The sequence below is a fragment of the Homo sapiens genome, chromosome 2 (assembly GCF_000001405.40).
Source record: "Homo sapiens chromosome 2, GRCh38.p14 Primary Assembly".
Classification (NCBI taxonomy): Eukaryota; Metazoa; Chordata; class Mammalia; order Primates; family Hominidae; genus Homo; species Homo sapiens.
The window spans coordinates 28921726-28949628 of NC_000002.12; the positions used below are offsets into that span (position 1 = coordinate 28921726).

Genomic DNA, 27903 nt, shown 5'->3' on the forward strand with positions numbered 1-27903 from the left:
TTTTGAGATGGGGTTTCACCCTGTTGTCCAGGCTGGAGTGCAGTGGTGCCATCAAAGCTCACTGTTGCCTTGACCTCCCTGGGCTCAAGTGATCCCACCCCAGTCTTGTGAGTAGCTGGGACTACAGGCATGTGCCCACCATACTCTGCTAATTTTTATTGTATTTTTTGTGCAAATAGAGTTTCACTATATTTCCTAGTCTGGTCTCGAACTTCCAGGCTCTAGCTATCTTCCCGCCTCGGCCAAAGTGCTGGGATTACAGGCCTGAGCCACTGTGTCTGGCCCTCCCCTGACAACTGTCATGTAGCACTAAACGTCAGAAAGAATGAAATTTTCTTTAATAAAATCTCTCCTTTCTGAGATTTCTTATTTTTAAATACACCAGTAAAGAATTTTAAACATTTTCAAAGTTGTTTTTCACAACAAAAGTTAGTCTCTTTTTTCTAGTTTTTAATTGATATATTACAGTTGTGCAAAGTTAGTCTTAAAACACTTTATATATTTCATTTTCTCTCAATGTATTGGCTCCTCCCTGAATTCTCTCATTACCTTTATAATTAGAGTAGGAATAGCAGTGTTTTGGAAGTGCTTTCATTTAAGCTTTCCTTAAGAAAGTTCCAGAACTTTAAAAAATGAGCTTTAGAGAGGCTGACAGCAAGAGTCTGGTAGGTAGGAGCATGCAGAGAGCCTAGGCCACTCACATTGATAGTGAATGGAGGGAGAGAGGCAGCGAGGGCTTACAACAACCCTTTCTAGGTGGTAGGGGCATCTCCAGACAGCTTAGGCCACTTACATTGACCGGGGATGGAGGAAGAGAGGCGATGAGGTCTTACAACACCCCTTCCTAGCCATACAGGCAAAATGGCTTTTTCTGTATTCCCGGCAAGAGGGGCATGTCAGCTCCATGTTGCCAGCCTTTGCACTTGGTAGTAACTTTGTTCATCTAACTTGGAGGGCTCATTCTCCTTGACTGTTCTCTTCTTGGCTTAAACATTTATCTAGAATCTTGACAACACCACCACTAATGGTTATTTTGACAGAGGTAATTATTTTTAAATGGATTCTTGCTGTGTTTTTTTTTTTTTTTTTCTGGTTGTGTAATGGGGTGGGAAGGACAGCTGAGTTTTCATAAGGTAGATTGGGGACTGGAGTATGTTATCCATTATAATACGTTGGTTACATTTTTCTTTTAGCCTGTCAAGTTGGCTGTTGTTTGCAGAGATGGTCAAGTCCATCTTTTTGAACACATATTAAATGGGTAAGTAAGAAATTTTCCAAGTAAGAAATTTGTTTCTTTCCCTGACTTGTTACTTGGTCATACTCCCACCTGGTTATTCTTTGCATCATATTACTATTCAGCCAGATTATTTTGAAAGCATTTTTCTTTATCCACATGACTATATACATTGCCAGTTAAAACTGGGTGTCAAATTTATATATTTGTGATTAGGAGATTGGCTTTTTATGATGTATCCTTAGTACATGTTGGATAATTCTAATGATACATTTCAGAAGAAAGTGGCTAAGCTGGAGAGATTCACTTGTGAACCTTGATGATGTTTTATTTATCTTTGAGCGTGCTTTACTTCCCCTTGCCAGTGCTGTTGTTTTGATAGACAGGGGAGTATTGTTGTCAGGTTGTGTAGCAGTCATAGACCAGGAGTCAGCAAACCGGCTTGCAGGCCACATTCAGTGGAGACCATTTGTGGTCTGGAGAACCTGAAATTTTTATTATTTTGCCCTTTTCAGAAAACTTGCCAAACCTTGTCATTATACTGTAAACATGGTCTGAGACTCAGTTTTGCGCACAAATTTTGTTAAGCTTTAAAATGGTTTTAACCTCTTGTTGTCAGTTGGCACCCTTCTTTTAAGATACCAGTATAGGAATTTATTTAAATATAAACAGATTATGAAAAAAGTGTATACTCATTTCAAAACACCCAGGATGCCCAAACACTTGATTTTAAAACCTGAGTCTCCCTCCATTGAGTTCTGCTCCTATAGGTAACTGTTAACATTTTAGTGTGTAACTCTTGAAGCTTTTATTTATAGAAGGATGTGTGTACCTGGAATGTATAATTGAGACTCAGAAGAAGTGGGACCCAAAGGTAGCTGGCCACAGTGAGGACTACCTGGGCAGTGGCAAACCATTGAAGGATTTCAAGCAGAGGATTCGATGAGCTTTGGCCTGAGTTTTAAGACAGTCGTTCATTGAGAATAGACTATAGAGGGTGAAAGGCTAAAGTAGAGACCCCAAATCCTGGGTTTAGAGATAGTTGTGGAGTCAGGATGATAGGAGGAGTAAGTTGGAAAGATAGGGATCATGAGATGCTTACACCTGGGATATTATGCAGGATGTACACTTGTGGAGAATAAGTGGTAATAAGATGCGTAGGGTGTGAGGAGTTTGTGGCTGAAATACAGTGAGGGGCATGTTCATTTGAGAAAGGAGTTGACAGATCAGAGTGTCAGGAGTGTCCATCAACCTGGACACTGGGTGTGGAAACCACTAAGAAAGGAATTCATTTAGAGTAATGTTAGAAGTAATGACCTCAAGCCACTGAAATCTTTACGAAATGTGGATGGTGGCAGAGATCATTGGATGACGGCAGGAGGGAGTGGTAGCTGGTATCTGGTGACAACAATTGAAAAGATTTTAGGGACGAAAAAGGGATAGACTATTGTCTTGAAGTGTCAGTGAAGAGCAGGGAACTTATTTATATCATGTCCAAGGCCCCTGACACAAATGGTATGGGAGAGAAAACAGGTACAAGTTGGGAGTGCTGCAGGGACAAGCCAGGGTAGAGGAAGAATGTGAAGAGAGCCCCTAGAGAAGCCATTGAGGACACAATTTTGCTGCTGGAACTACACTCCAGAGGCTTGCTGAGGCTTTTGGGGGTTGGGAGAAACTGGAGACGGGACTGACTGGAACAGGGCTTGGACAGAACCATACAGGACCTGAAGTACAGGGTGGCAAGAGAACGTTTGGCAGCTTGGGGCTTCTTGGCGGGGCCTGAAAAAATGGGACAGAGGGGGAAGTAGGTCTCCAGTCTGATTTTGGTGGTGAGGTTTTGAGTATAGGTAGAGGTAGGTGAGGTCTTGAAAGGAGTACTCATGCTCCGGAGACCCAGGTGACTCCTGATGGCAGTATAGAGGCTAGAGGGGGGTCACATTTCGTGACTTGATGTCAGTTCCAGAGAGTTAGTATGAGACGTTTTTTCAAATTCTTTAATCTCATTTCCCCCTCCATTTCCAGGTACTGCAAAAAGCCTTTGACTTCAAACTGCACAATTCAGATAGCAACACCTGGGAAAGGCAAGAAGTCAACACCAAAACCCATCCCTATTCTAGCTGCTGGTTTTTGCTCAGACAAAATGTCATTGTTGCTTGTATATGGCAGTTGGTTTCAGCCTACTATTGAGCGAGTGGTACGTAGCTGCTACTCTGGAGTAAAGCAATATAGCATCCCTGTGTCCATGGAAGAGAGTGATTTTAAAAATAACAACATTGGTCTTTAAGATAAATAATATATTCTTTTTTAATTAAAGGATTTCTTCATGGAGTGGTTTATTTTAATTTTGAGAGCTCTATATCCAACATAATTTAACACCTGGTCAGTTTAAAGCATTGTTTGAGTTATTTATATCAGCCCTCTCCCTTGGTACTATGTTTTAAAAATCTGGTGTGTATTTTGCACTTCTAGCACATCTCAGTTTGGACTAGCCACATTTCAAGTGCTCAGTGCCACATGTTCCTAGTGTCTTACTAGTTGGTCAGTACAGGTATGACTTATGTTGAATTTTGCCTAGTTACGAAGATATGAATCTTAATAATAGGATCTCTTAGTATTAGCACTCATTGGATTTTCTAAGTGGAAATGTAATGGGCAGTGCAATGATTTAACATTGTTTACTAGAGACGTTTCTTGAAGACTTCTGAGTTATCGTAAGCATGTACAAAAGGTTATTTCTTAAGCTTGCATTTAAAATGCGTTTACTTCGTATGATCCTCAGCAAGACTATGAGTGGAATATTACATGCTCACACAAGCATACGTGCATATGGTTTAATTAAAAAAATAAAAAAAGGAGAAAAGTGTTAAGCTGTAAACATGGCTCCTTGCCATATGTGAATTCCATCCCTCTCTGTTTGCAGCCATTGTTGACTATTTTTTTGCATCTTTCCCGATATTGATTAATTACATGGGCATATAGAATTATGTATCACTTTAAATCTTTATTGGTTTGCTGCATCTGACTCCCCCGATCCTATTTAATATCGTGTCAGGACATACAGATGCATTTTGTTAATCAACAGTGCTACCTTTGACTTGCTTATGGAAAGGACAATAGGAGAGTTAAGAGTAGAACCATTTACTATTTTGAGCAGACTGTTTCTTAAAAGGATGATGAACTGATACGTTTTCTTTAAAACCTGTTACGTTTAAAAATTCTGTTGAACTTTAAAAAATAAATGTGAAAAATTCAAGCAGTTCATAGCTGAGGAAAGTAAACCTTGGTACCCAATGTCTTCAGAATTACCATTTTTCTTAACTGCCGTCAGTCTGAGTGGTGATCGTGGTTAACAATTGAGTGTGGAAGTCTTCCATACTTTTTAATATTTTATAAAAATGCACAAGTAGTCATTTATTTTTCATTTTGTTCTTATTCCCAGTTGCTTTGTTTGACACTCTTTTTTTTTTCTTTCCTCTCATCTTCCCCTTTAAAAAAAATATATTTTCAGGCTTTAAACTCCAGAGAACCTCATATGTGTTTAGTAAGAGATATTTCAAACTGCTGGGCCCCCAAAGTAGAAACAGCTATAACAAAGGTGAGCACATTACAAATTTGAAGTTTTAAGAAAAAGAATATTTCTTTGGGTGAATGGAACTGTTACTTAGTATTATGATTAAACTGAGTTTTTTATTCTTTAATATCTTTATTCTCTTGTCTTATAAATTTTGTGGGATTATGGTTTTAGATGTCAAGATTGTACTCCTGATTTGTTGAGTGAATGAATGAATAGAAGACTAGCAGTTGAAGACCTTGGATGTGGTTCTTCCCTGCCCACCATGCATGATCATCTGGGCCAGGAAGAATGTAGGGATAAATATCAATATCAGATTTATCAGTAGATAGTTTTTATCAATCTCAGTACTTAAAAGAGCATTACTTTGCTGAGAGGAATGCTGTATTTCAGGGTGTAATAAAACCGTCATGGGGCTAGAATATAATACCACAAAAGCATAGGAGCATCATCATGGTGCTCCATTTTGCATATAACTTGGTGTCTACATGTAGGGGACGTGTTTCGTGGTTTAGTGAGAAAGGGAAAGCCAAGACATGCTATGATGACATCCATATGGTTTCGCTGCTGGCTGAGTTTCAGAGATGACACCTTTCTCTTGGCTGTCTGAGCATTTCTGGCAGAGATTGAATTCTGGAGGTAGTTGTAAAATGTGTAACTTCACTTTTTAAATTTTTAAAAATCATTGTGTCTTTATGTAATCTGTAGTTTTTTAAAGCCAGTTGAATTTAGTAGTGGGGGCTTGTATACCAACGTTAGTGACACTAAATATTTAATAAGTTCTGATAACCAACTACTGTCAGGCCAGTCGGATTTTACTCTTATGTGGTATTGTAAGCTTTAAATTCACAGTCTTTCAGATTGTCACTTAAAAAGTTTGTCAACATTCAATTTAAAATATATCTTAAATTGATATCAAGTTAATTATATTGCATTTTTCCAATAGAGGAGCCCTTTAAAAGCTGTTTTCTCATTGAGGATACTTAAGGACTAAGGTATGATTTCCTTTTTCACACTTTGGCTATTCCTGTTGAACAGGTGAGGACACCAGTGATGAATTCTGAAGCAAAAGTTCTGGTGCCTGGGATTCCTGGTCATCATGCAGCTATCAAGCCCGCTCCTCCACAAACCGAGCAAGTAGAGAGCAAGAGGAAGTCAGGGGGAAATGAGGTAATGCAACTGCTTTGACCATATATTTGAGTTTGTGATTTAAAATTACTGGGAAATTCTAACAAGTGTGTTGGATAGAGCCAAAGTTAAATCTTTAGAAATTTACTGAGATTTCTCCTGTTATGCTCTCTTTTATCTTCACCATCATAGATTTCATAATTCTAGATTGTCATCTTTGTTTAACAGAGAAGATGGAACCTTCAGTAACTAAAGAGGGTGCTGTTTTGGCCATTAGTTAGTAGTTAGCTGGGTAACATAAAATGGAATAAGTCAAGCCAGGACTTGCTGTGATGACTATCATTGGGTTTCGCATGTTGCTGAGTTCCAGTGATGCCTCTTTTCTCTTGGCTGTCTGAGCAATCCTGGCTAACCTAGTGCCAGTTGGTCTCTAAAAGTGATAGTCATTATAACTGCCTAAGTGTTTATGATCTTCATTTTTTCCTCAGTTCCCAAAATCCTTTGTGGTTACTGTACATGTCTGTGCAGAGTTGTTTTTTATCTTCCATTCACATTCTTCCCTCTTACATAAGGAATCTGGAATTTTAACTGTTTCATTCTTACAGAAATACTAGGTTTCTTTAGCTGATTTTACTTTAATTTGTATTCTTTTTTTTTCTTTGTCCAATTTTTGAAGGATAATTTAGCTGATTTTAAATGCGTTTATTGGGTGGTGGGGTGGGGATAACATAGCTTCATAAAACATGTTCATAACATGTTCATAAAAGTTATTCCTCAGTTACATGATAGCTGACTTTAAAAATAAAGCGCCAACTTTCTTTGGCTTGGCCTAGTTTCAACTTTTTAATTTCCCCATGTCCTTTTTAATCTTTTTTGTGTTAGGATAAACCAAGCACATCTGTTTGCTATGTTAGTCATAAAACAAATTTCTTTTTGATAACCAAGAGGCTGACAGAACATGTTAGACTTGATTTAATCAGGAATCAGTTCTATACAATTGAGGGTGTTTGTTGTTGTTTTTGTTTGTTTGTTTGTTTTTTGGAGATAGGGTCTCATTCTGTCACCCAGACTGGGGTGCAATGGTTTGATCTTGGCTCACTGCAACCTCCACCTCCTGGGCTCAAGTGATCCTCCCACCTCAGCCTCTTGAGTAGCTGGGACCATAGATGGATGCCACTATGCCTGGCTAATTTTTTTATAGAGACAGAGTTTTGCCATGTTGCCCAGGCTGGTCTCGAACACCTGGGCTCAAGTGATCCGCCTGCCTCAGCCTCCCAGAGTGCTGGGATTACAGGTGAGAGCCACCACACCCAGACCACAGTTGAGTTTTTGTATAGCAAATTGCATCATGTTTATTTACACATAAATGTTAAGTATTTATCAAGGAAGGACACTTAGTTGTAGTATAGCATATTCTAGCTAATAAATCATCATTTGGAGCTCACTGTTAAAAATAGGAAGACATTTTAAAAAATTGTTTTGGGAACATAACATTTCTTTATGCCCTTTTAATAATATTTTGTTTCCTCCTGCAGATCTGAGAGTGACACCAAGGGATAGTTATAGTGGGGCAAGCTTCTGTGAGAATAGGTCTTAAGTCTTGTGTTCTAGAATCAGATGCCAGGTCCTTGCCTTTTCTGAATCTTCATTTAGAAGGATTTTTATGAATGAACATTTTCAAACTATGTGCTTCTTGGGCCGTTGTTTTTTTCACTAGAATCTGGAAGCTTGGATTGCAGATGTTTGTCTCCAACATTGGCATTATGGTAATGAGGTTCTCTTGGAATAAGAATGAGCATATTAGTGTTTTCTAGGGTTGAGGTGTAAATCTATTTTATTTTATTTTATTTTATTTTTTTTGTCTCCAAACTACTTTAAGTCTTGTCTGGTAACACATTAACAATCCTTTCTGTTCTGTAGGTTAGCATTGAAGAACGTCTGGGAGCAATGGATATAGACACACACAAAAAAGGAAAGGAAGACCTCCAGACGAATAGCTTTCCAGTTCTTCTTACCCAGGGCTTAGAAAGTAACGATTTTGAAATGCTAAATGTAAGTATATAGCAATTTTTAACTAAATTAACATGGTTAATATTTCTTAGAAAATGATTGACATAGCACATTCACAGCTGTGAGCCATCATGTTACAGAGCCATTTGGAATGTAATGTTTTATGAGTTTAGTCAAACATGTATCACTTGGTGGCATTATACAGACAGTCACCAACCTACAACGGGATTGCATTGAGTTATTTTGAACCTGGAATGCATTTTCTCATAGAAATACTGTTCTGAATTATTAGGTTATTAGGCTTTAGTTCATAAAAGCCTTTATAAACATAGTGTAGCTGAATGATAATACTCAGCATTCTAGATCACAATTTATATTTTTTTCTGTAGGAAAATGCGTTCCTGAGTTTTTACTCTGGATTCCAGAAACTTATTTCCCCCTGGCCGTGAGAGGGGGCAGTGAGGTGGAACCTTGGCAATGGGTAGGAGGTTTGGGGGAAAATTCAAGAGGGTTGGGGGTTATGTTGTAAAATATGTAGAGGTAAAAGTACTAGAAACTTTGTATAAAGGGAGGCATTTATGATTTCTGTGTAAGTTGGTGACTGCTTGTATGAAGTTACTCAGTTTGATTCTCTTAAATTCTACAGTTTGACAGCATTCTATCTAGAATATTTAAGTGAAAAACAGTTCGATTCAAGTACTGCCTGATCAGATTAAAGCAGTTTACATTTGCTAATGCATTTATTCTTAATGACTCATAGCAGTGTTGTGATTTCAGTGAGTGTCAATGTGACTTTAATCCATAACCTATGAATAGTGTGTCTCATTTTATTTGATCCATTTTTTTAGGGTACATTGATCCTAAAATTACTTTTAAAATAGTTTGTGAATGTGTGTATTGTGGAGGTAGATTTTAGTTTACCATGGCATAGAAACCTGGGTGAAGATTTGGTGAAAAATCTGTAGAAAACAATTGACAGTGTTTTTGAAATGGAATATAACTTAACTGCCCTCATTGCGTTCTAATTATGCTTTGAAACCTTCCTCAGTAGGTACAAATGAATCAAGTACAAATTTTTTCTTTTTCTTATTAAGAAACAGTTCAAAACATTTAGAATAGTACAGTGGACCATCACGAACTCATTACCTAGTTTCAAAAATTATCAGTACTAGCCAATCAACTGTTGATTTGTTGATAGTCTCACTTGTCTCCCCAAGTTATGGTGAAGCAAATCTCAGATGATCACATATCATTTTATCCATAAATATGCCCCATTCAACTTAAAACATCCTTTAAAAAAATAACCATAATCCATTGTTGCACCTCAAAAAAGTAATTCTTTAAAAATTATCAAATATCATTAGTGTTTGTATTTCCCTGATTGTCTCAAACTTTTTTTTTATTTCTGCTTTTTTTTTTTTTTTGGAGATAGAGTCTTGCTTTGTAGCCCAGGCTGGAGTGCAGTGGCGCAATCTCGGCTCACTGCTATCTCTGCCTCCCAGGTCCTGGTTCAAGCAATTCTCCTGCCTCAGCCTCCCGAATTGCTGGGGTTACAGGCGCATGCCACCATGCCCAGCTAATTTTTGTATTTTTAGTAGAGATGGGGTTTCACCATGTTGGCCAGGCTGGTCTTGAACTCCTGAGCTCGTGATCCACCCGCCTTGGCCTCCCAAAGTCCTGGGATTACAGGCGTGAGCCACTGTGCCGGCCTATTTTTGCTTTCTTTAAAACAAGATTCCAACAGAGTCTACACTGTATTTAGTTGGTATGCCCCTTCTGTCTCTTGCAATTTAGTTTTTTGGAAAAGTTAGGTTATTTGCCTAGTAGAGCATTCCATGTTCAAGATTTTGCATACTGCATCACTGTGGTATCATTTAACACATTGCTCTGTTTATCTTGTTCTTTATATAGGTTAGATCTAGAAGCTTGAAGATCTAGATCTAGTTCTGGTTAGATCTATAAGCTAGAAGAGATTCGGTTTAAAATCTTTTTTTTTTTTGCAAGAACGTTTCAAAGATGTTAATATGTAACTTTCATTAAGTGTCATAGGTGTTGAAAGGGAAAATAAAATGCTGTTTATGAAAACACTTCTTAAATTGTATAGGTTACTTAGGTAGAAATAATAGAGAAGTGGTTGAATGATGAAAAATTGTGTGCTTGAAAAGTTAGTAAAGAGCATAAAATACACATGCCCTTCCCCCCGCCCTTTTTTTTTTTTTTTTTTAAATGAGACAGGGTCTCACTCTGTCACCCAGGCTGGAAGAGCAGTGTTGCAATTGTAGCTCACTGCATGAACTCCTGGGCTCAAGTGATCCTGCCACCTCAGCCTCCTGAGTATCTGGGACTGCAGGCACGCATCACCATAGCCAGCTAATTTTTAAAATTTTTTTGGTAGAGACAGGGTCTGCTGTGTTGCTCACATTGGTTTCAAAGTCTTGTTCTCAAGTAATCCTCCTGCCTCAGCCTCACAAAGTGCTGGCATAGAATAGCCCTTTCAGAAAATTTTTATTCTATTGATTGATTGATCGATTGTCGCCCAGGCTGGTGTGCAGTGGTGCGGTCTCAGCTCACTGCAACCTCTGCCTCCCAGGTTCAAGCGATTCTCCTGCCTCAGCCTCCTAAGTAGCTGAGATTATGGTTATGTGCCACCACACCCAGCTAATTTTGTATTTTTAGTAGAGACAGGACTTCACTGCGTTTGCCAGGATGGTCTCAGACTCCTGATCTCCGGTCACCTGCCCCTCTTGGCCTCCCAGAATGCTGGGATTACAGGCGTGAGCCACCGTTCCCAGCCAAGTAAACCCTTTTTTAAAAAAGAAAAGAATGGATGTTCTTATAATGTATTACCTAGGAGATTATGCATTTATATATTCTGTACTCTAAAAAGAAAGAGGTTAGTAACATTTTTCTTTCTAAAAACGTTTTCCCCCTTCCCAAAAGCTGCCTTATGAGGATACATAGTTATGAGGATATTAAAAATAGGAACAAAAGAAGAATGTGAGCAGTGACAGGGATACAACATGGCACCTTCCAAGAGGTTAATACTGTCTGTCATAGAAAACCTGACATTAACATTAATGGCATTTGGAAGGTGGAAATGTAACTCAATGAATTAGTGTGTAGCTTATGCAAAAAGAGAAGCGTATTTATGTAATTCATGGCATCCATAGGGGATATTTTTAAATATTTTAAAAAGCATTTAAGTTAAATATTTTTTAACAGTTCCATTTATAGTAGTACCAAAAAATACCTAGGGTATATCTAAAACAGGTAACTGTCTCTACACTGAAAATTATAACAGTTGAGAGAAGTTAATGAAGACCTAAGTAAATAGAGATCTAAGCCCTGTTCATGGGTTAGAATATTCTGTATTTTGGGGTCAAGAATTCTCCCCAAATAATCTATATATTTAATCCATTCTCAATTAAAATTCCAGCAGTCCTTGTCAGCCACCTTCGTAGAAATTGACAAACCTATCCTAAAATTTATGTGGAAATGCAAAGGACATGGAATAACCAAAGAAATGGTAAAATAAAGAGCAAGTTGGAGGAATCACCCAGTTGATTTCAAAATAAAGCTATAGTAGTCAAGATAGTTTGATATTGGTGAAAAAATAAATATAGATTAAGGGGCCAAAACAGAGTCCAGAAATAAACCACATGCAATTGGAAAAAAATGGATCTCAGTTTTATCTCACCTTACACAAAAATCAATGCAAAATAGACCATAGACTTGACTGTAAAACCTAAAACTACAAAACTTCTGGGAAAAAACAGGAGAACATCTTTGTGAACAAGAGTGGGGAAAGATTTCTTAGATATAGCATACAATGCATGAAATGTTAAAGAAAAAATTGGTCATTTGAACCTTATCAAAATTAGAAACTTCTGTTCTTGGAAAAACAGTGTTAGGAGTATAACAAAACAAGCTGAGGGCTGGGAACAAAATATTAGCAACTCATGTTAGACAAAGGATTTGTATCTGGACTTTAAAGCAGTTGGTAAAGGTTTGAATAGACACTTCACAATAGAATTCAAATGGCCAGTAAGCACATGTAAAGGTATTATGCATTATTAATTATCACAGAAAGGCAAATTAAAACCACAGTGAAATAAAGCTTGCACACACCCCTTATAGGTTGATAAAAATGCGAAAGACAGACAATAATACCATCTGTTGGTGAGGATGTAGAGCAGCTGAAATTCAAGTATGTTACTGGTGGGAATGTAAATGGTATAACTACTTTGGAAAACAATTAGTTTATTAAAAATTGAGGATGTATCCACATATGATGGAGCCATTCTGCTGCTAGATATTTACCAGGAGAATAACACACATACGTTCATACAAAGACTTCCTCATGAATGTTCTTTGTAATGGCCCTAAACTGGAAAGAACACATATGTCCTTTAACAGGTGAATGGAGAAACAAATTGTTCATCTAGCAATATAAGTAATGTGTTATTAATAGACCAGTAGTATTCATGAATCTCAAACTAAGGCTGTGAGAAAGAAGCCAAGCAAAAAGTAATATAAATTCCTATTTATATAAAAATTCTGGAAAAGCAGACCAATACATAGTTCAGTAGCTGCCTGGGAATCGGGGTGGAAGGAGGGATACATTTAAAGGGACCCAAGGAGACCCGAGGGTGATACAGTGTTTATTTTTATCATATCATAGTATTTGTTTCATGGGTAAAGAGTATGTCAAACTGATCAAGCAGTACACTTTAAATATATGGTGTTTATTACGCTTCATTTGTACTGCAGTAAAGTTGTAAAAGAAAAATCTTGTCTTCAACACCACCTTCTTAGTAGTTATAACTATGGCTTATAGGTTTGTTTCTTTACATACATCCTTGATGGAAATTAATGAGGCTGACTCCTCTGTTTATTATCATTTCACTTAGTTTGGGATAACGTATTTTTATTTGCTGATTTTAAATTAGAAAATCATTACTAATTACTGAGACCAGGAGGTCAAAGCTGCAGTGAGCTGTGATCATGTCAGTGCACTCCAGCCCAGACAGCAGAATGAGGCCCCTGTTTCAAATAAATACATTAATAGGTTGGAAACTAACTTCCTCTATTTTTGCCTTTTGGTGCCACTGCTGTTTCTATTCTGAGCATATTTATAGCAACAACCATCACCAACAAATACATACACCATTAGAAAGACTCTCTGGAACTAAACCCTTTCAAAAGGACCCTAATTTTCACCTTCTACTTCTGTAAAGCATGTGGGGCTTGAAGAAGTTGAACAACCTGTGCCAGAAGGTGTGCTTCTAAGGGGCAGGACCGGAACTGATCTGCTCTGTGTCCTTTGCTGTAACCCAGTGTGGAGACTGGGTCTCCACCATAGATGTACGCTTAAAGGGTTTTGATTCAAGCTCTCATTATGTCATCTTTTGATTGGCATAAAATTTTACCAAAATTTTGACACCTACTTTAAAAGGATTTCTTGCTTTCTAAGTAATTTTACTGTTTTGCTCACTCTAGGGTGGATACAGCCCAAATTTCATAAAATGGAGGTTTGGGAACATCTTTAAAGTGGCATATGTCTGTATTCAAACGTCTAGAGATGTTTTAATAAAACACAAAGAAGTAAAATTACTTCAGTAATGAAGTAAATTTACTGATACCCAAAGACTGTGCTTGTCTGTTAAGCACAAGACGTAATATAACATACTCCATTCAGTCCCTCCAACCTTTATTTTTGCTAAATTCAGTTTGTAGTTTATTGCCTTGGTCTTAAATGATTTAAAGGATTCATTTTTACAGACTTTTTTTTTTCTGTGATGTCCTTGGTTTGTCAGTATGCTCATCTTAATAATCCTTTTATTTTCTCACAGAAAGTACTTCAAACTAGGAATGTAAACCTTATAAAGAAGACTGTATTAAGGATGCCCCTGCATACTATTATTCCGTTGTTACAAGAGGTAACTGACTGCTTTTTTCATTTCAGCATCCTAATGCCATGAGTTAAATGGAAAATTCAGTAGTTAGAGAAATGGATTTGTAATACGTAAGGACACATGGCATTTAGAGTGAGTAATGGATGGAGGAAAGTACTTTAGACAAAAAAAAAAAAAAAAAAAAAGTGAAATTAATTCCTGGGGCAATGAAAGGAAATGTCATTGGCAGTTTTACCTTTATTCTGCTAATGGCTATTGTGTGTCTGTTTACCTGGAGGCACTTGGAACTTGTGGCACAGAATGCTGTATGTACAGGATATCATCTACATGGGAATAATTGTTGTAAACACCCCAAACATAAAGCTCCCAAATTCTCATTTTGGTTTTTCCCAGTATGTCCTGTGAGGTACCTTAACCTAACACCGAAACCATTTTTATATGTATTGATTTTCTTAATCACAGTTTGGTTGTTAATCTCTGTGACTGGCAGTATGGAATTGGAGGTGGGAGGACTGCTTGAGCCCAGGAGTTTAAGACTGTAATGCGCTATGATTGCACATTTAAATAGCCACTATACTCTAGCCTAGGCAACATAGCAAGACCCCATCTTAAAAAAAAAAAGTATATATAATTTCACTGAAACTTGCCCTACAAGAGTGGGTATAAATTTTTAAAAATTAGGCCTAAAAATAGAGTGTATTCTTTGTAATTAGAAATTATACCTGGATTCCATTTATCTAACATGCTGCTGAAGTATTTTGCAAGTATAGTTACGGTATTAACAGTGTGGGCTGGTGTACCATTATTGGTAAGGGAAAACTCTGTACTTAAAAAAGCAGTGTCTTGTATAGAAAAGGGTGGTCATGTGTTTTTGTAATACTGCCTACTATAAAAATTTGCCTAACCTTGATTTTTTTCTTTGTATTTTAAAAATCGAGATACAATTCACGTAGCATAAAATTTAACTCTTTTAAAGTATACATTTTAGTGTTTTTCAGTATGTTTGCAAGTTGTGCAGTTGTCACCCCAAAAAGAAATCCTTTATCTATTAGCAGTCACTCTCCATTCTTCCTTCTCCCCAGTTGGCTGGCAATCACTAAGCTATTTTCTGTCTGTGGATTTTGCCGGTTCTGGACATTCCTTCATATAAGTCCTATCCTAGACTTTTATCAGCTAATTACTCTGATTATGGGAATGTATTCATAGACTGTATTATGCGGTTTAAAATAGACTACTTATTAGAATAATAATTTCTCAATATTGTCATTGTATCATAGGAATTGACAGCATTGGTTGCCTCTGAAGTGCTGTTGTTAATAGTGTTTTTCTCTCCCTTAGCTTACAAAGAGGTTACAAGGACATCCTAATAGGTAAGATTAAACAGGTGACTTAAAAACAGTGTTGTCTGACAGCATGAAATTAAATATTAGGTGGTTCTGATTTCTAACTAATAAAACTCTTTCAGTGTCAAATATTAACCCCTCGCCACCTCCCTTATTTTAAGTTGAATGATTCTTATTCTTAGCGTTTTATTATAGTTTTCTTTTGCAAAACTCCTAAATTGATACTTTAGCTTTATTAGCAGGTCATTTAAATGATTAGTCTTATTTAATAACTTAGTGTTGATATCGTAAAACTGCTGCTTATAGTACCTGCCGAACCTCTGATAGCTGCTTAAGACTCTGTAAAAATATGTTTTAGCTAAAAGACTAAATTTTGTGTCTTTTTTCTTGATAATCTGATCAAACATTTAAATAACATGACATCTTAAAGATCCTAAGCTTATAGTATATTATCATCAGTATCTAGATAGTAAAATATGTAGTTTTTCTTTAAAAATTTTTTTTCTCGTGGGGTGCATTAGCCTTCTGAGCTCACAAAAGAGGAAAGCTAAATAATTCATTAATTATGACTTTTTTGCACATTTTTGGTCTATATTTGCCTTTTAATGTTAATGGAGGACTTTGCTATTCTTGACAGATTTTTATGTTTATTGTTAACATAAAATGCAAAACCAGTCGAACTCAATTTGGACGAAGATTACTGCCCTCATATCAGTTAATTATGAAGTAAAGCACGGGTTTTGCTCTTGAACTGTTTTAGAGGAAGGGGTTTTGTCCTGTTTTCTGATGTGGCCCCCAATCCCTGCCCAAGGTCTATGACACAGAGCTCAGATAATCTGAAAGAAAAAACGGAAAGTGATATATACACAGTGATATATTTATTACAGTCATTTTCACAGAGCAACATTTATAGACCTTCACTTGTCTGTCTGGGTTTTCTAACAGCTCAGTTGAATTTACTTTTGAATTTGTGAACATTAGTTTACTTGGATTTTTTTTTCCAGTGCTGTGCTAATGGTTCAGTGGCTAAAATGTGTGTTAACAGTTCATGCATCATACCTGTCCACGGTGAGTCTTTTCAGCTTCTGTTGCCGAGTATGAATAGTTTGGCTTTGATAAGGATTGTAAACTTTGACAAGTATGGCTGAACAAAACCATCCTTTCCCCATCTATCCTTCAGCCGTTAGATGCTTCCTTTAGAGATTTTGTTTTACCCCGGGTGCAATGACATGAGCCCTTTCATGATGTCACTGCTGTGGCTTTTTATAAATTGGTCTTCCCCTCTGCCCCCCGGATGTAAAAATATAGAGATCTTTACAAATACAGAAAGGAGAAAAGTTATATAATGACATACTAAGATTTAGATGTGACACACACACAGGCACGGCAGGTTTTAAATGTTTTTATACATGCTAATGTGTCTGTCCTGCCTTGTCCCAGGAGGATAAAATGTAGTTAATGGTAACAGTAACATAAATATTTGCTACCTGACAATTTGCTGGTGCTGCTGTCAGCTCTTGATTACCTATGGAAATAGAAGAGGGAAAGCAACACCAGAAAAAAAAAATTGTATTCATAATATGAGTTGGGTTCTTTGCCACATCATTACATCCATTATATTTTAAGCTGGAAATAAAAGTATTCAATTTTTTTTCTTTATCTAGTGCTTTACTTTAAGCTTTAAGTTTTTAGTGGACAGTTGAAAAAAATCCTGAATTGTTCTTTAAAATGTAGCTCTTCTTAACACAGTCTCACCCAACTCCTGCCTTGTCACAGTCCCTTGTTCTCTGTCACTGACTCCTTTGCCTTCAGTGGCTTGAATTAGGGAAAACTTGGTTAATCTGCTTTGAGGTCAGCAGTTTGTTCTTTGTGTGTTTGGGGAGAACTCGCTAAGATGCTGGAATGGGGTTGAGAGAAACAACAGATCTTGGGTGTCCCAGCCTGTAGGAGGCTTGGGAGGTGACCTGGGAACACTGATGAGAGGCGTTTTGGGAGGTGGCCTGGGAGCACTGGTGAGAGGGGTTTTGGGAGGTGGCCTGGCAGCACTGGTGAGGGGGGTTTTGGGAGGTGGCCTGGGAACACTGGTGAGGGGGGTTTTGGGAGGTGACCTGGGAGCACTGGTGAGAGGGGTTTTTGGGAGGTGACCTGGGAGCACTGGTGAGAGGGGTTTTTGGGAGGTGACCTGGGAGCACTGGTGAGAGGGGTTTTGGGAGGTGACTTGGGAGCACTGGTGAGAGGAGTTTTGGGAGGTGACTTGGGAGCACTGGTGAGAGGGGTTTTGGGAGGTGACTTGGGAGCACTGGTGAGAGGGTGGCCGAGGGGCATTGCAATTGCATGAACGATCCCAGCAGACATCGGATCTTAGGAATCTGGATGGCAAATGGGGCAACACTAATGTGGCCTCAGTTACTTGCTTAGAAGTGAGGAGAGACCCGGGAGATCTTGTAGTGAAATCTTTTCTGGAATCAACTCCTGAGGTATAACCAGAGTAGTTGTGGTGTAACATTCAAGGTCGTGGCAGAACAGACGAAAGAATGGTATAGGGAGGGCCCCTCAGCCCGTAGCAGTTATCAAGGAAACCATGGTTTTCCTCGCTCTTTTCCTTCATTTCTTCCTTCCTTTGCTGATATTTTTAAGTGCCTTCTGTAAGCCAAGGGCTATGCCAGGCATGGGGATTCAGCAATGTACCAAACACTCTGGTCCCCATCTTCTTGGAGCTCATAGTCTGAACAGGGACACAAAAGGGAGGTGATAAATTGGAATGCAATGACCTTAAACCTTGCTTTACTAATTTTTGTGTCTGTCTGCTGTTTAAAGTTAACATTTGAATGAAACACTTTTTTACTAAAGTATTAGAAATAGGAGTGCAGGTAAAGGCTAATCAGAGGTAAGGAGTGGAGTCTGGGCACGGTGGCTCACACCTGTAATCCCTGCACTTTGGGAGGCTGAGGCGGGTGGATCATGAGTTCAGGAGATCAAGACCATCCTTTCTAACACGGTGAAACCCCGTCTCTACTAAAAATACAAAAAATTAGCCGAGCGTGATGGCAGGTGCCTGTAGTCCCAGCTACTCGGGAGGCTGAGGGAGGCAGGAGAATGGCGTGAACCCGGGGGGGCAGAGGTTGCAGTGAGCATAGTTCATGGCACTGCACTCCAGCCTGGGCGACAGAGCGAGACTCCGTCTCAAAAAAAAAAAAAAAAAAGAATGGAGTCCGTTTTTCTGTAGTGCTACAGGGACAGATAAAAGAATATCAGAATATCACGGGGGTAGGGGGTGAGGTGGGGAAGCCAGCGTTGTTCTTTTTCTTTTTTTTTTTCTTGAGACGGAGTTTTGCTCTTGTTGCCTAGGCTGGAGTGCAATGGCACGATCTTGGCTCACCGCAACCTCCGCCTTATGAGTTCAAATGATTCTCCTTCCTCAGCCTCCCGAGTAGCTGGGATTACAGGCACATGCCACCATGCCTGGCTAATTTTTGTGTTTTTAGTAGAGATGGGGTTTCTCCATGTTGGTCAGGCTGGTCTTGAACCCCTGACCTCAGGTGATCTGCCCGCCTCAGCCTCCCAAAGTGCTGGGATTACAGGCATGAGCCACCGCGCCCAGCTGCCAGCGTTGTTCTTAGAGCCCAGAGATGGGAGGAAAATTAACCAGAGGCAGGTATTTGAAGGCAGTGGGACAGGAAGAGGCTTGTTCTGGACTTCCAAATGGCTTCCTTTAAAAAGAGGCATTTAAATTTTTCCAGTTGCTTTTTATAGTTGATCTAGGATAGAAAAATTATGGCCATCATGGTTTCCTTTCATATTGTTAAAAATGATCAAGGGGACTTTAAGATTTTATGAGAAAGGCAAATTACCATTGTTTTATTCCTCAGTGAACCTGGAGGAGCCAGACCTTTATCAGTCGTGTTGTGTTCCAAATATAACAGCTATATTCTCAATACAAAAGACTCTGATGAGAGCAACATGGGAGCAAAAAAGAGAATGTCCTACTTTCATTTTTTAAATATGTTTCAGAGGACTCATTAACAGGAAGTATATTTAAAATGCAAAAGGTCAACTTTGTACTTTGTTCTACTGGTCTCTGGGAGCTGGGAAAAGGCTTCTCTGCCTCTTTGGGGCCTTACAGTAAGGGTAGATAATATGCTAGCATCAGAGGATAAGATTCAGAGGAAAGCCTCTTTAGCCTGGAGATACGTGGTAGAGGCATTTTTAATTTCCTGTCTACTTTATATGGGATATTGGCCTTATCTGAAATAGTTTGATCAATACAGAAAAGTGCCACCTTGCAGTTTCACTCTCTTGCCCTTATATCATTTTTTTTATAAGCCTATTATTTTTTCCTCCTAGGACATTGAGGGTCTTCTGTGAAAATTCGTGATGTTGTTAGGCTATGTTGCAGGTAGCCACTGCCACTGGGAGTACTTGTAAGCAGATGTGTGTGGTGCAGTGGCTAAATACTGAGGCATAGCTGAGCATGATTTGCGTGTTCGTCATCTCTAATACGTTAATAGTGCCAAATGATCATTTTTTTCTCTAGTTGCCTGACCTGGTACCCCAGCTGGGGACACTCTACCAGTTAATGGAAAGCAGAGTCAAAACTTTTCAGAAACTTTCACACCTTCATGGAAAGCTTATTCTTCTAATTACACAAGTGAGTAAATCATATTGTTCTGGGCTAAAACTTTTGGACATGGTAGGAATGGAGAGAGGAATAAGGATCATTTTGAGACAGGGTCTTGCTCTGTCGCTCAGGCTGCACTGCGGTAGCATGATCATAGCTCACTGCAGCCTCGCTCAAGTGCCTCCCAAGTAGCTGGGACTACACGGATGCACCACCATGCCTGGCTAATTTTTAAATTTTCGTAGAGATGGCATTGCCTAGGCTGGTTTTGAACTCCTAGGCTCAAGGGATCCTACCACCTTGACCTCCCAAAGTGCTGGAATTACAGGCGTGACCCACCACGCCTGGCTGAGAGCTCCCTGTTTCAGTAAGAAATTGGTAAATCAGGATCTAGTCTTTAACTTGGAAAGCTTATCAGTTTGACAGTAAGAAAGTTTAGTTGTGTCTGTTTCAACTTTTACTCAAATCTTTTTCTCACCATTGTGTTTCAGTTGTTATACAGTTAGTAAGTTATAGGATATTTATACAGTTAAAATTTTGGCACAGAAAGATATTCTAATCACCTCAGAGTTTTTCAGCTTTACAGAGTAATTCTTTCCCTCTTGTATTTGAAGGACTTTTTTGCTCTGTATTGTATGAAGGTCCTCCATTATGGTGGTGGAGGGTGAGTTAGCAGCAAGCAGTGGGGAAGGTTGGGTATGCTGGTGGTCGTGATACTTGGGATATGTTTACACTCTACTTCAGAACAGTACTTTATCTTCTTCCAGGTAACAGCATCAGAGAAGACAAAGGGAGCAACTTCCCCTGGACAGAAGGCAAAGTTGGTGTATGAAGAAGGTAAAGACTGGGGGAATGGGATGGAGTCTAGAATTATAACATTCAGTTTTCAGTGACTGAGTTCTGTTATCTTTTTGAAAACGTCAACATAAGATCTTCCTTTGGCAAGCCTTCTCTAATTAAAATAGGCAAGTCCGTGGCAAAAATCTGTAATTCATCAGATAAGAAAAGAAAAGGCACAAGTATAATACAGTGACAAAAAAGGGCATTAGTTATGGAAGATTTTTTTTTTCTTTTCTTTTTTTTTTTTTTTAAGACAGTCTCAGTCTGTTGCCTAGGTTGTAGTGCAGTGCTGTGATCACAGCTTGCTGCAGCCTCAACCTCCTGGGCTCAATGCAATCTTCCTGTCTCAGCCTCCTGAGTAGCTGGGACTACAGGCGTGCACCACCATGCCCGGCCAACTTTGGTATTTTTTTGTAAAGACAGAGTTTCACTATGTTGCCCAGGATGGTCTCAAACTCCTGGGCTCAAGTGATCCCAATGTGCTTGGATTACAGGTGTGAGCCACCATGCCTGGCCAGGTATGGAAAATATTTAAATAGAAGAACATTATATGAACAAACTTAGTGTAAATACATTTAAAAGTCTAGGTGGTATAGTTAATTTTTAAGGAAACATTAATGACCAAAATTGACTTTAAAAGAAATAAAAAGTTTGAAAAAGCCAGTAGCTCTAAAATTGACTTTATAAAACTTCTCACAAGATATGCCCAGATATTTTGAAGGTTATTTGATCAGGCCTTCAAAGAACAAATCTTTTCTTTTCTTTTTTGCACAGACTCTCTCTGTTGCTCAGGCTGGAGTGCAGTGGCTCGAGGTCAATCATAGCTCACTGCAGCCTCAAACTCTTACACTCAAGCGATCATCCTGCTTCAGCCTCTAGAGTAGCTGGGACTGTTGAGCCACCATGCCTGGCCAATTTTCTTTTTTTAAAGGTAGAGATGAGGTCTCTTTGTTGCCCAAGCTGATCTTGTACACCGTGGCCTCAAAAACGGTCTTCTCGCGTCAGCTTCCCAAAGTGCTGGGAATAGAAGCATGACCCACAACACTGGGCTGTCCTTTTTGTCATGTACTGGCAATTTAGTCATTTTATGAGCCAAGTATAATCTTGATAACAAAACCTGGAAATGTCAAAAAGGGAACATTTTAGATCATCCTCAAATACCCTGAGTAGCAAATTGATTATAGAAGTGTAGGGTTACAGAGTTAATGTGCAATAATAGACAGCTAGACCAATAGATTGGCAATAGCTACCCCTGAAAAACCCGTAGTTCTGTGGACTCTTGGTGTGTTTATTGATGGTGTGTATTGTATCATTGTGGAGAAGATAGCCTGCTCAGTAAGTTGTTAGAAACACTGATAATTTATATGGAACAAAAAATTTTACCATTATCACATCACACATCACATTCCATATTGTGAGAAATGGATAAATTTGAAAGAGTGAAAATGGTCAGGTGTTGGCCATGATTTGGGAAATGGGAGCTCATGCTGTGGTGGGAGTACATGTGCATTCTTTTTAGAGAGCAACTTTGTAATCTCAAAGTTGACAATTTGCATATCCTTCCATTCATCAAGTGCAGTCCCAAAGTGATCCCAAAGTGCTTGTGTGTATCCCAGTGACCAATACTTCTCCAAGTATGAACAGAGGACCTGTGGGGATGCCCAGAACTCTTTGAGCGGCTCATGATGTCCTCCGCTTTTCAATCGGTCATCTGTGGGAGGCTAGATTTTCTTCATATAGTTCAAATAAAACAACATATCCAAAAAATAGAGTGGAGAAGCAGATATGAGAAGTTTTTAATAGTGCCATTCTACTTAGTAGAATTTGTTGTTGTTTTGGAAATTCCATTTTTCAATTTTAGTGTATGTGCTGCCGAAGAGAGCACAGAAATACTGTTTTTCATTAAATTGATTTGTGTTAACATGTAATGGATGGGCATTTGTAAACAGATTAAATATTCTTAAATTTAAAAATTGAATTTGAATGTGATAAATATAGATAGACTTTTCCCACATAAACAAAAACTTTTTGGAGACCTCAGTTTTTTAAGAATGTGAAAGCATTTTAAGGCTAAAAGGCTTGACAACATAGCTTTAAAACATATATGTAGAGATTATATAAGTATGTTCATTGCAGCCTTTATAATTAAGAAAAAGACTTGTGAACAACATAATTCTTCATTAGTGGGAGCATGTTTAAAATGGTTTATTCCTTTAGCATAACACTACATTGGTGAGAGTGCCTGGAGTTGAGATCGAGTTAACACGCATAAGTTTGATTACAAAACCAAGTCAAAAAATGATACCTTCTGTGTAGCATCGTGTAATTGTATTAGTAAGCAAAATAAGGGTGGCTTGAACATAAGCTCCGCGATACTGCAACATTCGATTTGATAACTGAGGTGGCTACTAAACGACTAACGGGTGGCTAGTGTAGACAGCGAAGCTGGACAAAGGGATGATTTACCTCTCCGGCCAGGCGGAGCCAGATAGCACGGCACTTCATCACGCTGCACATAACAGGGCGCAATTTAAAACTTAGGGATCCTGGATTTGGTACATTTTCCATTTAATATTTTTGGATTGCAGTTGCCAGGGGAAACTGAAACTGGGGAAAAGGAACACATATTGGGGGAACTGCTGCATATGTCTTTCATGAATATGTACATGTGTAATTCATGGGTAGTATGATGTATGTGTTATAACAGCATACTGGAGAATGAGAAGCTCACAATAGTGGTTTCTTTTGGGGAATGGGCTTAGGGAGATGGGCATGTAAGGGAACTTCATCTGGAGATAATGATTTATTTTCTTAAGAAAAAGTAGATAGAAGAAGAATGTTAGAATATCTTAAAAAAATAGGAATCCCATTCTGTATTATTGGATAACATTAGCACACCTAATGAAATCAATTCCTTAGTTTTATCCAATGCCCAGTTTATCTTCATCTTTCTCCAGTTATCCGTAAAATATCCTTTAAAGCTGTTTTTCCCAAACTAGACTCGAGTTTTGCATCATGGGGTTGAATCTGGCTACTGTGTTTCTGAAGACTCTTTTTAGTCTTTAAGAACTCCCTTTTTCATGACATGGACTTGGTGAAGAGACTGGGAAGTGTATTTCACAGAATGCCCCACCTTATGTTTGTGGATTTGCTTCCTTTTGGTTTCTTTTAATTTGCTCCTCTAAGCTACAGTTCCTTTAAACTGGATGTGAGGCCTAAAGGTTTGATTGGATTTTATTTTTGGAGGGTTGCATCAATGCTGATCGTTCATATTGCAGCACACTAAGAACCACATTGTGCCTGTTATCAGTTTTTTCCTCTCCATTGTGAGATATATCTTCCTTAGTGCTTAGAAAATAATCTAGCTGTGTTAATTTTTGTTTTAACGTTTGCATGTTTTCCCCCAACAATCATACATCTAATATATCAGTTGCTAATATTTCATTATTAGTACTTTATGGGTTAAATAATGCTAATTCTTCCATTTCGTTTATAAGCCAGCTTTTCTGTGTTGAATTTTTCCTCATCCACTGGGGCTATTTGGTGGCCCTGATAGGGCTTAGTATTTAAAGATGAGATTTTTGTAAGGGTTTGGCTAGTTGGTTTGGACCGGTGAGATCTTGAAGGAATAATATAATGAATATACTTTTATACATGTAAGAATAAATTAGCCAGGTGTGGTGGCTCATGCCTATAATCCCAGCACTTTGGGAGGCAGACGTGAGCGGATCCTTTGAGTCCAGGAGTTTGAGATCGGCCTGGGCAACATGGTGAAACCCTGTCTATACCAAAAATTAGCTGGGTGTGGCGGCTACTCAGGAGGCTGAGGCAGGAGCCTGAGGCTTGAACCTGGGAGGCAGAGGTTGCAGTGAGCCAAGATTGCTCCACTGCACTCCAGCCTGCAAAAAAAAAAAATAATAAAATAATGTTATTTCTTAGTTGGATGATTGCTAAATATAAATAATATTTCTAAAAGTAAATTCAGGAATCTGGTTCTGCTTAATTTCCAGGCTGTACCCTCTGTTTTGTTCTAAAATTAAGGCTGGGTTCTTTCTCCCCTTACAGAGTCTTCTGAAGAGGAGTCTGATGATGAAATAGCAGATAAGGATTCTGAAGTGAGTGATTTGTTCCCTGTATATACATCGGCCTTTATATCCTCATACTCTGTAAGAATGAGACCTTCATGAATGCTTTCCTTGTTGGTATTTCGACTAGGATAATTGGGATGAAGATGAGGAGGAGAGTGAAAGTGAAAAAGATGAGGACGTTGAAGAGGAAGATGAGGATGCCGAAGGAAAAGATGAAGAAAATGGCGAGGACAGAGATACAGCAAGTGAAAAAGAATTAAATGGAGATTCTGATTTAGATCCTGAAAATGAAAGTGAAGAAGAATGAAGACAGCAAAGCAAGCCGGTCAAACTATATAAACTCTGGCTCACCTTGCCCAGTGGTGAGGGCTGCCTCTGTGCCAGGATGCCAAGGACCGCTGCACATTTCCAAATTCACAGCAGTGGATCCCATGCCACTTTGCTGTCCTGAGCACCCCAGACTTGACTGTGTAAATAAGAGTGTTTCATTCAAATGTTAATAAACTTTACACAGTATATAGACACATTTTCTGCAATGTACTGACATCAGTGTCCAATATATGGTATATTTTTATAATATAATATCCTAGTATGATTGGTTATATCAAGAATTGACAAGTGCAGATAAAGACCTTTCCCATAGGAGTTCAAGAACTGGACTGTTGTGAAGAAGTCAGCTCTTATCTCAGGTTGGTATCTTTCATCAAATCCAGATGCAAAGCAGCACTAGTGAAAATTTTTTTAATTTAGTACATTTAATTTGGTACATTTTCATAAAATATGAAGGGATAACTACAAACTGGAGTAAAAATGATGGTAATTAAAAAAAATCCTCAGTATCCCTAGCTTGTCTATTAACTGTGATAATCTGACTTGAGTCAGATTGAATATTTGGAGTGCTTCCCCAGAATAACCACTTATTTTTGAAGCTATCATGTGAAGTATTTTTTTAAAACAAAACAAAAATTATGGTCATTAAAAAACTAGAGAATTAGCCATATTAAGGATTTTTCTTGACTGCAAATTACTTCTAAAGAATCATCAGTGTATAGATTAGAAGTGCTCATTACCTGCAACTTTTAAAAAAAATTCAGTTATAGCTGCTTTTGAAGAGGTTTCCATTTTTATTTAAATTACTAATGGATCAAAGAACAATTGTTTATTTTTTCTCTTTGGTTTTAGATATTAATGATAACCTTGTTGGAATTTTTTTTCCAAAGAAAATATTTTTATAATTAAATAATTTAATGTTTTTCTTCCTTTTCATTACCTACTCTTGGCAGTGTTAGGGTATCTGTTTACCTTTAAAATGATAAGTCTCACTCAAGATTTTTTATGTATGTATAAATATTTTGGTGTGCTACAAAAGCCTTTGCAAATTATCAGTAGTAGTTTTTTTTTTTTTTTTTTTTTTTTTAAAGAATGAGCCGATATTGGCTTAGTGCTCACTAGGGGACATGCACATGGAAGCTCACCTCTAAGAAAGGGCTGGGCAGATGGATTTATTTTTTCCCACCTGTGAATATGTAAAACAAAACCATTATCTTTGAGGGAGTTTTTAATACCAATGACAGAACAGAGATTTGTGTGCTCATCTTAAGAGCCAGAGCCATATAAGCATCTTGGGAAAGCAAGTTTGAACCAGCTGCTGGTGTAATGTACAGTTATATTTGTCTATAAATGGAGCTGTTTATGGCAATTTAATACCATTCTCTTTGTAAAGTGAATAAATATTCATCTTTACCCAGTGCTTGTCTTGTGGTATATGTAGAGGAATACAGCCACATGTTTGGGCTTGTGGTGTGAAGGTTTTTAAAAAGCAGTTTTGCTCCCCTGGCATTAAATAGGTAAATGCTTTCAAAGCTTGTGGATAACCTAGAATTTGCAACGAAGTGAAAGAACCAAGACATTTGTGTTAGTCTAGTGTCAGCTATAGCCAGTTGATTCTTCATGCATTCCCACTTGGCTGGGTTGTGACTTCACAACCCAGGGCTGTAGTGACAGTAAAGAAAGAGGCCTGTGCTGATAATTTCAGTCCTTTACTGGTAACCAACACTTGGCTTATGAGTCCGGTTTCCCTTATACCTGACTCTGCCTAAAGAAGTAAATGATGACAACCATATGGTAATTTCTAATTATTTTTTTGGTTTAGAAAAATCTGGAGTTAAATTAGTGTTGTTACAAAAAGAATCTTCTATTTTTAGAATATTTCATTGTCTTTTTCCACTCCTAAACCAGGCAACAAAGTTTGTGTGTGTGTTTTCTTTTTTGAGATTAATTTTTCCTCCCAAACTTTTTTTTGAAAAATTTCAGCCCTCCAATCACTGTCAAGTCAGTAATCATATATTGTAATTACTTGTCATATTGCTCTAATAATTCAGAATAGTCACCCTCATGCTGTGTGTGTGTGGATTTTAATATTTAAATGAGTTCACATAAATTAAGTCATGTTGTAGAATGTCCTATATTGTGGATTTGTCCAGTTGTTTCCTTATGATTAGATTCTGGTTTAAATACTTTATGGCAGCAATCCTAAAAAGGTGGTGGTATTTAAGATGAATTTTTAAAAGTGAATTACTTAGGTATAAATGAATATGAGTATGTTTTAGTGTGAGTAGATGTCAGAGCCTCAGGTTTGGGGCTTTTGAAGCTGTAGTGCAATGGTTAATGCTTCAAGTGAGGCTCAGAAATTGGAACTTCATAATGGACACATCAGGTGCATTGATATATCTGGGGTTGTTATAATTCCATTGGAGGTTAATGCCCAACATGCTACATTCATTGACTCAGCAAGTGCTACTTGATTGCCTACTCTGTGTCAGGGATTATTTAGTAGCTTGATACATAACCATTGAACAGCAGCAATGGAGGATATCTGCCTTTGAGAAGCTGACATTCTACTAGGGAGATGATGGCCATAAACAATGTATGAGTGAGTAAATGCCAACCTTTTTGGCATCAGGGACTGGTTTGGTGGAAGACAGTTTTTCCACGGACTGGATAGGGGAGGGGATGGCTTCAGGATGATTCAAGCACATTACATGTATTGTGTACTTTATTTCTATTATTATTATATTATAATATATAATGAAGTAATTATACAACTCACCATAATGTGGAATCAGTGGGAGCCCTGAGCTTGTTTTCCTGCAACTG

At 38.2% G+C, this 27903-nt stretch overlaps 1 protein-coding gene and 2 non-coding genes across 3 annotated transcripts in view; all 3 read left to right on the forward strand.

The window, feature by feature from the left end:
- The window catches only part of WDR43 (WD repeat domain 43), a 53553-nt gene extending 27059 nt beyond the window's left edge, over positions 1-26494 (forward strand). Inside the window, exons 7-18 of the mRNA NM_015131.3 lie at positions 1194-1258; positions 3257-3428; positions 4743-4829; positions 5844-5975; positions 7854-7985; positions 13796-13882; positions 15197-15228; positions 16206-16269; positions 19736-19849; positions 20587-20656; positions 24725-24774; positions 24875-26494. Of these exons, the coding sequence (NP_055946.1) occupies positions 1194-1258; positions 3257-3428; positions 4743-4829; positions 5844-5975; positions 7854-7985; positions 13796-13882; positions 15197-15228; positions 16206-16269; positions 19736-19849; positions 20587-20656; positions 24725-24774; positions 24875-25054 (1185 nt within the window). The 3' untranslated portion in view covers positions 25055-26494. The remainder of the gene's footprint in view (positions 1-1193; positions 1259-3256; positions 3429-4742; positions 4830-5843; positions 5976-7853; positions 7986-13795; positions 13883-15196; positions 15229-16205; positions 16270-19735; positions 19850-20586; positions 20657-24724; positions 24775-24874) is intronic.
- On the forward strand, positions 5342-5419 carry SNORD53 (small nucleolar RNA, C/D box 53). The gene has a single exon (NR_002741.3). It is a non-coding gene; the product is annotated as a small nucleolar RNA, C/D box 53 (small nucleolar RNA).
- SNORD53B (small nucleolar RNA, C/D box 53B) lies at positions 6258-6335 on the forward strand. The gene has a single exon (NR_145755.1). It is a non-coding gene; the product is annotated as a small nucleolar RNA, C/D box 53B (small nucleolar RNA).
- Positions 26495-27903: the final 1409 nt, after the last annotated feature.